Source organism: Homo sapiens, chromosome 1 (assembly GCF_000001405.40).
Source record: "Homo sapiens chromosome 1, GRCh38.p14 Primary Assembly".
Classification (NCBI taxonomy): Eukaryota; Metazoa; Chordata; class Mammalia; order Primates; family Hominidae; genus Homo; species Homo sapiens.
The window spans coordinates 159,109,574-159,122,223 of record NC_000001.11 but is presented as its reverse complement, the minus strand read 5'-3'; the positions used below and the strand labels follow the sequence as shown (position 1 = coordinate 159,122,223).

Below are 12,650 nucleotides of genomic sequence, written 5' to 3'. Positions count from 1 at the left end.
TTCTTTTTAGTGTTAAACCATTGGGATTTTTGGTTGATATAGCAACTAGTGTCACTGAGATTAATGCAACTACTGATATTACTAAACTTTCTCCTGAGATGACTCTGTGTTCTGCAAATTGAGATCTGCTGGCCTTTTTGCTTGATCTGTACCCTTTACTCTTTAACTTCTCTCCCCAGATTCTTTCTGCTTTCTTTGCAATCATATCTTCAAATGAATAATGAAATCAACAAAGAGCAAGAGAACAGAGGAGTAATGATTATTTTATTAATTTATTTTATTTTTCTGTTTGATTTGACTGCATGGGAATAACCAAGAAGCTGAGTAGAAATCAAGGACAGATGTTTGTGGGCTTAAACTCCTGTGCTGGAAGTGGAAAAGGTATAAACAGTAAAGGCTTTTAAGTTTCAGTGACATGATTTTAAATTGAGAGCCAAGAGAAAGGATACTTTCTCACACTTTGCATACATAGGATCAGTTTCTTGTTTAGTTCTGACTTTCCAATTGGCAGAGTGCCCTTGAAATGTCAGCTTTGTCAGTGGAGCACCCTGCAGTCATTACCTGGTCTATAACATTGGCACAGGACACTCAGAGAGTGGTTTCTACCTAAAACCAAGCTATGTGCTGGGAGCCTAGGTATAGATACTTGGATAGGAGAGAAAACTGAGAGCGCAGGTGTTGAAGTAGATCAAATTACACACACAAAATAAGTAAACAAAGAACCAAAAATTTAGGAAAAAAAAACATGCTTACAAAAGCACGTCAAACTGGTCTCTGAGATCTTATAATTTTCCCATTTATACATTTATATAAATTGTGTTCACAGGTACACTCACAATATGATCAAGTAGTGTTTGTACCTAAAACAATTGTCACAGTGTGTTATTTGAGCAGTAGTATTGAGTAAGATGATGGCTTCTAAATAAGAATTACTCTACAGTTACTTAGGGATTAAGTGGCTTAACTGGAATTGAAAACATGGTTTTTGAGGGCTCCCTCAATGCTTCCCATCACTAGTTTATACAGGCAATAGAGAACTCATTTGTCTTGAATAATTCTTTAGCTTTCCACAGCTGAATATCTTGCTCTTGGGGAAAGAGCTTGCTATGATGTGCTGGATTCTGGCTGAGAATCTCTGGGTTTGAATCTTGGCTCTGCCACTTACAGTCTTTAGGAGGTTGGTTAAGTTACAATATTTCTCTCTACCTCAGTTTCTTCATTGGTAAAATAGAAACAATCATAGGACTTACCACATACATTCATCAAAGGAATTAAATGACCTAATAGAAGCAAATTATTGGACTAGTAACTGCTAAATAAGAATCAGTTGTTGCCCGTGTTGTTTTTCTGTTGTGGGGTAAATGCATTTCCTTCTGTTTGAGCTTCTGTTTGACTGGAACACAGTTGATCATGCCTTCTGACTCCTTCAGCCTTCTCTAGAATGTATTTACAACACTGGATGTCCATAACCAGCCTTTCCTTCCAACAGTCACGCTGGGCTCTAGCCTTTTCTGTGGAGCTGTAATTCCTTCTCCTTCTCCATTTCTCCATTGATTCTTATTTTCCTTGCAATTGAGTGCTTTCCCCTCAATGGCAGTTTTACACATGCTAATCCAATCTTCTAGATCTGGTTCAAGGGTTATAATGATGAAGGATTTTCATCAACTGGAATAAGAATACTTAATCCTTAACGTTTTTGACAGCCAGCTCTGTGGCACGAGACGACAGTTTAGGAGCAAAAGACAACAATAGCTGTGATAATGACACAGGCAGTCACAGAAGGGCAAGAGAACAAGCTGTCCTAGGATGCTTGTGTAAGAAAAATTGCACGTCTTGTCTTCCTAATTAAAGGCTAAAAAATTGACTGAATTGCATATCTAATAGATAACATGACTGTACAATTAAAGGAATTATATTAAGTGTCTTTTGCACACAGGACCTTTTACTATACGTCTTTTGGTGGCACAATTTTTCAGGATGAAAAGTACTCAAGGAAATCGTAAACTTAACCCAGTAGTTTTATTCTTGATATTATAATTTTGAAATTATTTTACGTATATTCTAGAATAAAGCAAATAAATAAATAGGTTAATAACATCAGGATCCAGTGTTTTCAATGTATGAGAAAAGAGAAATAAATATAGAAACAAAGAAATTAGGAGGGGAGATAACTCTATAAAATCAAATCTAAGTTGTAAATGTTAGTATGAACATAAGATTATATATAACATAATGCTACACATGATCTATATAATGTATATCATGTATTATATGCAATATAATTCATCTATATAATGTATCTCTAATTTATCTACATATAATCTATAAGTCTCTCTGTATGTGTGAGTGTGCATATGTGGAGAAAAAGAGAGAGGGATAGGGAAACAGAGACAGAGAGTGGCACACACACCCACACACACACACACAAACACATGCACACACACACATAGGGTGGGGGTGAGAACGAAAATACATGCTTTATCCACTCTGTCCAATGAAAGAACTTAGAAACCATTATGAACCAGTAGTATTGAGCACACCTGACATTCGGTTATTGTTTTCTAAAATACCACTCTCTCTAAAAAGAACTAGGGCTCCTTATGGAACTGGCTGATTCTAGGTTTCAGACAGGGAATATTTACAGTGATTTTAAGATCTCCTATTGTATCAGGAGTTTCTAGAGAACAATTGGGGTCTTGACAAAAGGGTACAGCTTGAAGGGGCTGTCACTGACTGAGTTTGGGACAATATGAGCATCAAAAAAATAATGTTTGTGATTGATCATATTAACAAAAATGTCCAAGTCCAAAATGACATTCAAAAAAAGGAAAAAGGGAAAGATAAAATATAAGATTATTTGCCACAGTAGAGGTTATTAGTACACCAACTCCTTACTCTGAAAATTAGTAATTAAAAGGAAATAATTAAGCTGCACCCTGTTTGTATTTGTCAGGATAGAGAGGTTATGCTGCAGTAACAAACAACCTCAAAATCTCGGTGGCTCAAAGCTAAAAAGTGTATTTTTCACTTTCACTGCGTGTCTCTCCTGGGGTTACAAGCGTTCCGATTCATGTCATACTCACTTAGGGAGGTGTCTCATGCTTTCACTCTTTGGCACTCATACCATCCAGTAAAAGAGGAGCGGATCCCAAGGAGCCATTGCTTCTTTATTCGGAGTTCTGGTGTGAGAGATATGTAATGCCAAACTAGGGACTGGAACAAAGCACACCAGAGCCACAGCTGGGCCTCAGCCAAATCACAGACCTGTGAGCAAGAAATCTGTGTCATTATATGCAACTAAGATTCCGGATTGTTTGTTACCGATGCAAAAACTGATTAATACACCCGTTATGTATGCAGAAGGAAAAAAAAACACAAACACCAGACTATTGGTGAATAGCCCAAATGACAACTGTATTGTGTTTTAAAGGACGAGCTCTGTGAGTATTGCAGAAGATTCCCAGCAAATAAGTGTAGAAGGAATAATACCAGTAGAAGTCACCATTTTGATATCCTGAAATAATTGGTTCAGGAAAGAATTATCAATGAATTTTGGAACCATTAGGTAAAAACATTTTAGGAAATAGAATATTTGCTAATATTCTATTAGAATGAGTCCTAAGTACCACCCTACAGATATTTGCTCTTTATAATGGGTGAAGTACCCTTTAAAATAAAACTGTCATCATGAAACTACACCTCACTGACAGTGGACAGCTTGACATTGTGTGCCTCCTGAGGTAATGCATTATGAAGTAACATCACTGCCTTTGAATTACCCTTACCTCAAATGTTTTATCTGTGTGTAATCAAGACTTTTGTTCAGATTCCCAATACATAAGGAGTACAGGAGACACAGGTATGTGTTAAACAATGCTGTACAGCAAATCAGGAAAGTGACAATTTTATAAAGCTGTTGTTTGAGACTCTTTAACATGCCCATGTCAAGGGGATACAAAACCACAGTCTGTGCTTCGTTTTATTCTGGTTTAAAATTAGCAAAAGATATAGAACAACTACATGCAGTGTGTAAGCCTTGATTGGATTCTAGTTTGAAAAAGCTAACTACTAATGTATTTGTTGTTCAGTTTGGGAAATTTGAGTATGGCCTGGATGTTGGGGGATATCAAGATATTTTTGATGTTTCTGGGTATAATAAAGGCATTGAGGCTGTATAAGAGATTTTTCTTAGTTTAGGAGATGTATGCTGATGTAGTTAGTGGTTAAATATCATGATATCTAACCCGGTTTCAAATGCTTCATCAATAAATTTATACAGGGACACAAACATACATACAATTTTGCAGTTAAGGCAAAATGTTAACATTTATTGCACCTAAGTGATGGGTACATATCTTATTCTGTCAAATTTAAATTTGAATTTGTTTGTAATAAAGCAGGAAACAAAATGAAGCAAGACACTGCACGGGGAAAGGTGTGTGTGTGTGTCTTTGTGTGTGTGTGTGTGTCAGTGAAATTCAAAGCTGTGTCTAAAATGTCATCCTGATCTAGAAGTCTCGTAAGGTCAACATGGCCTCAGCTGTTTTCCTTTTCTTTTATATTTTTAACCATTTTATTTTAAAAGCTCTGAGCCTGAATGATTGCTCTTGAACTTCTATGTCTTCCATATTTTTTCCTTGTCCAAAGAATAATCCACTAATTTAGGAGAAAGAGTCAATAATTACACTTTACTTGACTCAGAGCCTCCTGGAGAAACCATATATTACTGGATAGCCTGGTGCTTCTCTGTTTTATAAAAAAATCTTGGATACAAAATTTATTTGTTATACTTGATATATTATTATTTTTCCTATCTTCCCACCTCTTCTGCCCTGTCTCAGGAGGTGTTTTTCTTCCTTAAGGTTAACTATACCTTTTCTCCAGAGCACATGTTTTTCTGATGCCTCTAGAATCCTAATCTGATCTTTTTTAAGCTACATTCTTTGTGAACTTTTTGTCGATTCTTGGCCTTCAGCCTCTCTCTGTGTCTTTCTCTCTCGTGCGCACACAAATGCACCTGTCTCCTCCGTTTTTAAAATAACTTTTTTCTGCTACTACACAGCCTTCCAAGATGTTTTGCCCTATCTCTGTTCTTCCCTTGACAGCTATATTTCTGCTAACTACAGTCCATACAAGCTATTGCCATTTTCTGGCCACTTACTCATTTTTCTCATTCATTTCTGAAACAACTCTCACTAAAATAACACAAAAAATAACTTGATAGTCAAATCCAATTTTTTTTTCTGTACTCACATATCTTTCTCTTTATGCAGCTTAAAAAAATTCAGTACCTTTTCCTTCTTGAATTTTCTCCCTGTAGCATTCAGGGGACCTTAATACAGTTTCAGAAGAATTTCTAATGCCGAGTGACTTTACTTTTTTTTTTTTTAATTATACTTTAAGTTTTAGGGTACATGTGCACAATGTGCAGGTTAGTTACATATGTATACATGTGCCATGTTGGTGTGCTGCACCCAGTAACTCGTCATTTAACATTAGGTATATCTCCAAATGCTATTCCTCCTCCCTCCCCCTACCCCACAACAGGCCCTGTTGTGTGATGTTCCCCTTCCTGTGTCCACGTGTTCTCATTGTTCAGTTCCCACCTATGAGTGAGAACATGCGGTGTTTGGTTTTTTGTCCTTGTGATAGTTTGCTAAGAATGATGGTTTCCAGCTTTATCCATGTCCCTACAAAGGACATGAACTCATCATTTTTTATGGCTGCATAGTATTCCATGATGTATATGTGCCACATTTTCTTAATCCAGTCTATCATTGTTGGACATTTGGGTTGGTTCCAAGTCTTTGCTATTGTGAATAGTGCCACAATAAACATATGTGTGCATGTGTCTTTATAGCAGCATGATTTATAATCCTTTGGGCATATACCCAGTAATGGGATTGCTGGGTCAAATGGTATTTCTAGTTCTAGATCCCTGAGGAATCGCCACACTGACTTCCACAATGGTTGAACTAGTTTACAGTCCCACCAACAGTGTAAAAGTGTTCCTATTTCTCCACATCCTGTCCAGCACTTGTTGTTTCCTGAATTTTTAGTGATTGCCATTCTAACAGGTGTGAGATGGTATCTCATTGTGGTTTTGATTTGCATTTCTCTGATGGCCAGTGATGATGAGCATTTTTTCATGTGTCTTTTGGCTGCATAAATGTCTTCTTTTGAGAAGTGTCTGTTCATATCCTTTGTCCACTTATTGATGGGGTTGTTTGTTTTTTTCTTGTAAATTTGTTGGAGTTCATTGTAGATTCTGGATATTAGCCCTTTGTCAGATGAGTAGATTGCAAAAATTTTCTCCCATTCTGTAGGTTGCCTGTTCACTCTGATGGTAGTTTCTTTTGCTGTGCAGAAGCTCTTTAGTTTAATTAGATCCCATTTGTCAATTTTGGCTTTTGTTGCCATTGCTTTTGGTGTTTTAGACATGAAATCCTTGCCCATGCCTGTGTCCTGAATGGTATTGCCTAGGTTTTCTTCTAGGGTTTTTATGGTTTTAGGTCTAACATTTAAGTCTTTAATCCATCTTGAATTAAATTGTGTAAGGTATAAGGAAGGGATCCAGTTTCAGCTTTCTACATATGGCTAGCCAGTTTTCCCAGCACCATTTATTAAATAGGGAATCGTTTCCCCGTTTTTTGTTTTTGTCAGGTTTGTCAAAGATCAGATGGTTGTGGATATGCGGCATTATTCCTGAGGGCTGTGTTCTGTTCCATTGGTCTATATCTCTGTTTTTGTACCAGTACCATGCTGTTTTGGTTACCATAGCCTTGTAGTATAGTTTGAAGTCAGGTAGCGTGATGCCTCCAGCTTTGTTCTTTTGGCTTAGGATTGACTTGGTGATGCGGGCTCCTTTTTGGTTCCATATGAACTTTAAAGTAGTTTTTTCCAATTCTGTGAAGAAAGTCACTGATAGCTTGATGGGGATGGCATTGAATCTATAAATTACCTTGGGCAGTATGGCCATTTTCACGATATTGATTCTTCCTACCCATGAGCATGGAATGTTCTTCCATTTGTTTGTATCCTCTTTTATTTCGTTGAGCAGTGGTTTGTAGTTCTCCTTGAAGAGGTCCTTCACATCCCTTGTAAGTTGGATTCCTAGGTATTTTATTCTCTTTGAAGCAATTGTGAATGGGAGTTCACTCATGGTTTGGCTCTCTGTTTGTCTGTTATTGGTGTATAAGAATGCTTGTGATTTTTGTACATTGATTTTGTATCCTGAGACTTTGCTGAAGTTGCCTATCAGCTTAAGGAGATTTTGGGCTGAGACGATGGGGTTTTCTAGATATACAATCATGTCATCTGCAAACAGGGACAATTTGACGTCCTCTTTTCCTAACTGAATACCCTTTATTTCCTTCTCCTGCCTGATTGCCCTGGCCAGAACTTCCAACACTATGTTGAATAGGAGTGGTGAGAGAGGGCATCCCTGTCTTGTGCCAGTTTTCAAAGGGAATGCTTCCAGTTTTTGCCCATTCAGTATGATATTGGCTGTGGGTTTGACAGGGTCTCCCTGTGTCACCCAGGCTGTAGTGCAGTAGCACGATCTTGGCTCAGTGAAATATCCACCTCCCGGGTTCAAGTGATTCTTGTGCCTCAGCCTTCTGAGTAGCTGACATTACAAGCATGCGCCATCATGCCTGTCTAATTTTTTTGTAGAGGCAGGGTTTTGCCATGGTGGCCAGGCTGGTCTCAAACTCCTGGCCTCAAGTGATTCTCCTTGGCCTCCCAAAGTGTTGGGATTACAAGCATGAGCCACCATGCCCGTCCCCAAGTGACTTTAGAAGACTGGAAGTACACTAGTGTTTTCCAAGCAGGACTGGTCACTTTATTGGACCCTTTCCCACTAAACTCAAGGCCACAGTTGTTCTAATTAGCTCAAACTGCTGCCTTCTCCCAGGCTCAGTTTTCCTCTTCCATTTGAAACCCTTTGTACTCATGTGTTTTCCCCTTATTTGCATTCTGTTGGCTTGTCCCTCATGACTCCTCAGCATAGTCCCTTATACTGTTTGGGGTGTTTCCTTTGCTTTGACTTGAGTTCTTTCTGTTACCCAGTCTCTTGTCCACTACTCTAAGTTGTGAACTCCCTTGAAATCTGGGAAACAAAGGAAGAGCTCTTTGCTTTCATTTCTCTACACCTAAAATAATCTTTGGCTGAACTCTCAAGCTAATACGAGAAAAACTGTTCAGGCTTGTCAGAAAAAGGAAACAGAAAGCTAAGGATTTTAATGGGAGGAGCCTTAAAATCCTGTAACACTTGTGCCTTCTCTTTCCCAGGGATTAGCACACAGTTAAACAGTAAGAGCTAGTCAAGTTTCTAAGTGAAAATAGCCAGTAGCACTTCTTCCTGGCTAACTTTCAAAACTTCTTATCATGCCTCACCACTATTCAATAAAGAACTCTATCTGATATATGTTCTTACCCTATCAAAATACATGGTCATCCCTGAAGCTCTGACTTAAGGACTAGGCTGCTGTGGAAGGAGATTCCAGTGAGGTAAGGCCTGTGGGAAGTTTTCTAGAAAAAGCCCAAAGAACAAGTTTCTAATCAGAAAATTAGGAGGAAATAGTAATTATGGGTTTCTGTGATGGAAAGAAGGGCTGGTATTGACTATATTCCAGAAAAGAAAAAGCTGTAGGTAGTCCGATTTTAAACCCTCAGTTAACTGAAAGTATAGAAGTCGTCTTTTATTTCACTACAACTGAGACCTAAACAAAAGAAAGTACATTTGGCTGCATCAGGAATTAGAATATATTGTTGAACGGGTTGACCAAGATGAAGTCTAAAAGGAATTATAACTTTCTAGGTGTGTTGGTCTCCAGGTATCTTAATTGACAAATTTATATTCAGAAGAGGTCTTTTGATTTCTGGCTGAAGGAGAGAGAAATGTAGGGCCTGGGGAAGAGTTCCTAAATAAAAGATAACAATGATATGACAAAATGCCTATCATGTAATATTAGATTTGGGCCGGGTGCAGTGGCTCACATCTGTAATCCCAGCACTTTGGGAGACCGAGGCAGGTGGATCATGAGGTAAAGAGATCGAGACCATCCTGGCTAACATGGTGAAACCCCGTCTTTACTAAAAATACAAAAAATTAGCTGGGCGTGGTGGCGGATGCCTGTAGTCCCAGCTACTCCGGAGGCTGAGGCAGGAGAATGGCGTGAACCCCGGAAGCGGAGCTTGCAGTGAGCCGAGATCGCGCCACTGCACTCCAGCCTGGGCGACAGAGTGAGACTCCGTCCCAAAAAAAAAATTATATATATATATATATGTATGTATATATTAGGTTTGAAACATCAGAGTATAAAACTGTATTCTGAAAACAGTATTCTTGCAGTTAAAAAAAAGTCTAGTAGAAAAACTCTCATTCCATAAACTCCATATTCAAGAAATGTGGCTTTAAACATTTTTCTGTCACATATTTTAACTTCTATTTCCTTTAGTCCATTAGGTGTCAGAAAATTTATTTCATTTCATTTAAGATTGGACCCCACTTTTCCCATAGCCATGGTTAAATTCCTACGGTTTAGGGAACAAATTAGATTCATAAAACTATTCTTTTGAAATTTGTTGTGACATCTTTTATAGACCTGTTGAGTATATAATAAATATTTCTAAGTATTCCGTCAGATCAAAGTTGTTAATTGTATTCTTCGACTTCCATATTTTTGCCTTTTTGGCTACTTGAATTATAACTTATTGAAATAAGAGTGTTGTAGTCTCCCACTCTCATGGTGGATTTGTCAATTTATTCCTTGAGGTCTCTCAATTTTTGTTTATATCTGTTAAGTCTATTTAATGAGGTGCATGCAAGTTTAGAATTGTTATATTGCTTTGGTGCCTAATGTTTAATCATTGCATAGAAATGCTGTCTTTAATGAAGCTATTTGTCTTGAAGTCTTCTTTGATTATTATTAATATAGCTATACTAGCTGTCTTTTGGTTAGTATTTGGCGGCTGTGTCTTTTCTCATTCTTTTCTTTTCAACCCTTCAGCATTTTCATGCTTTAGGAAAGTCTTTTTTAAATAGCATAGGAACTGGAGTATGTCTTATTCCAGTCTGACATTGTGTTTTAACCGGCAAGTTTAATTTATACGTATCAGGGTAATTGAAATATTTAGATTTGGTGTTACCATCTTGTTTTTTATTTTTCTTTATTTTTTGAGTCAGAGTCTCACTCTGTCGCCCAGGCTGGAGTGCAGTGGGGCAATCTTGGCTCACTGCAACCTCCACCTCCTAGGTTCAAGTGCTTCTTGAGCCTCAAATTCCCAAGTGGCTGGATTTACAGGTGCCCACCACCATGCTCGGCTAATATATGTATAGATAGATAGATAGATAGATAGATAGATAGATAGATAGATAGATAGATAGATGATAGATAGATAGATAGTTTTTTTTTTTTTTTTTTTTGTAGAGACGGGTTTCAACATGTTGGCCAGGCCTCGAACTCCTGGCCTGAAGCAATCCACCCGCTTCGGCCTCCCAAAGTGAGGCACTGCATTTGGCCCCATCTTATTTATTTTATATTATACTGCTTTTTTCTATGTTTGCTTTCATCTTTTAAAAATCTTTTCTAGGACCAATCTTTATATATATTTTCTTTGATTTTTGTTTCATAAATCCTGTCATAAACTCTGTGGGGACAAGTCATTTTCTTAAAATACAAGTAAATTGCTTCCGGATGTAGTTTTTTTGTGTAACTGTTTAGGAGCAAGTTCTCTTTCTCTCTTTTTAATTGAGGTGAAACCCACGTAATGTAAAAGTAACCATTTTAAAGTGAGCAATTCTGTGGCATTTGGTACATTCACAATGTTGTGCAACCACCACCTAACTAGTTTTAAATAACAACGTCTATTTTGCTTTGCTTTGTAATGCATTTTAATAGACCCTACGCCAGGTTATTTTAGCCTTCTTGAACAAGGCTACACATACCCAGCACTTTCCAAAGGAGATGTGGACTGTCCTTGGCCTAATTCCTATTCACTTTGCTGTTAGAATAACCATTAGTCTAATTTGAGGTCAAAGAGAAGATTTCTTTACCCAGTCCTACCTGTTCTTGCTGTGGTTGTTTTTGTGAGCTGGTATTTAACTAGGGTGGTTTTGTCTAATGAAGAAGATTCTTGTCCTACTTACTGTTCATTGTAGATGCTAAATACTAGATTAGAAGAAAGCCATCCCCAATAAGCGTTGTTATTAGAGCTCTACCTGCCTTTACCCTCACCTAGAGCACATTAGCGTAAGTATAATTCCCTAGATGGTAAATGGAATGTGATGTTGCAAGAGTCCCACACTCTCACCCTACCCCAAACCCTTCTCTGATGTGCTCTAGATGTTCTAACTTCTGAACCTATGTACAAAAGAGAGGAATGTGAACAGATGACACTTTAGCCACTAAAAAAATTAATATGTGTGCAGTGAAGGGTTTGATCTCAGTTGTCTGCTTGGTGCAGATACCATTTATGTAATCTAGAGGGGCAGGAAATAGAGAAGGAACACATATTTTTCTAACTATGATTTTAGGCAAACAGATTTTGGGTAGCACAGTTTATTAAAGGTACTGATTGCTCTTATCAAGTCATTTCCATCAGTTTCTCACACTTTGGCAATAGGTGGGCTGACCGTGTCAGTTTTTTTTTCTTTGAAATCTGCTTAATATTTTTAATGGCACTTTGAGGTCCATAGACCCTGGTATACCAACGGCACAGCTAGAGGGTCTAAAGGAACATAGAATTTGGGCCTCTTGTACCTAGCGGTGCTTCTAATATAAAAGAATTTTTTAAAACATCAGTCTGACTATGGTCAGATAACCTGCACACCCAAAAGTTTGGTGATAGCTCAGATTTTTTTCTCAAAATGAGATGCCATAGGATGGCTCCTGAGAGAGGTTTTATGTGGACCATGGTCTTGGTCTTCACTTAGAATAATAGTCTCCAATCTCGTCCAGGTTGCTGTGAATGCCATTAATTCATTCCTTTTTATGGCCGAGTAGTATTCCATTGTGTATATATACTACAGTCTCTTTATCCTCATTGGTTGATGGCCATTTGGGTTGGTTCCACGTTTTTGCAATTGCAAATTGTGCTGCTATAAACATGTGTGTGCAAGTATCTTTTTAATGTAATGACTTCTTTTCTTCTGGGTAGATACCCAGTAGTGGGATTGCTGGATCAAATGATAGTTCTACTTTTAGTTCTGTTAAGGGATCTCCATGCTGTTTTCCATAGTGGTTGTACTAGTTTACATTCCCACCAGCAGCGTAGAAGTGTTCCCTGTTCACCACTTCCATGCCAACATCTACTATTTTTTTATTTTTTGATTATGGCCATTCTTTCAGGAGTAAGGTGATGTCACATTGTGGTTTTGATTTGCATTTCCCTGATCATTAGTGGTGCTGAGCATTTTTTCATATGTTTGTTGGCCATTTGTATATTTTCTTTTGAGAATTGTCTATTCATATCCTTATCCCACTTTTTGATGGAATTTTTTTTTCTTGTTGATTTGTTTGAGTTCATTGTAGATTCTGGATATTAGCACTTTGTCAGTTGTATAGATTGTAAAGATTGTTTTCCCACTCTGTGGGTTGTCTATTTACTCTGCTGACTGTTCCTTTTGCTGTGCAAAAGCCCTTTAG

The 12,650-nt window shown here is 37.8% G+C and overlaps 1 protein-coding gene across 3 annotated transcripts in view; it reads left to right on the top strand.

Annotated features, from left to right (window-relative positions):
- The window catches only part of AIM2 (absent in melanoma 2), a 92,082-nt gene that overhangs the window by 24,909 nt on the left and 54,523 nt on the right, over window positions 1-12,650 (top strand). The window lies entirely within an intron of this gene.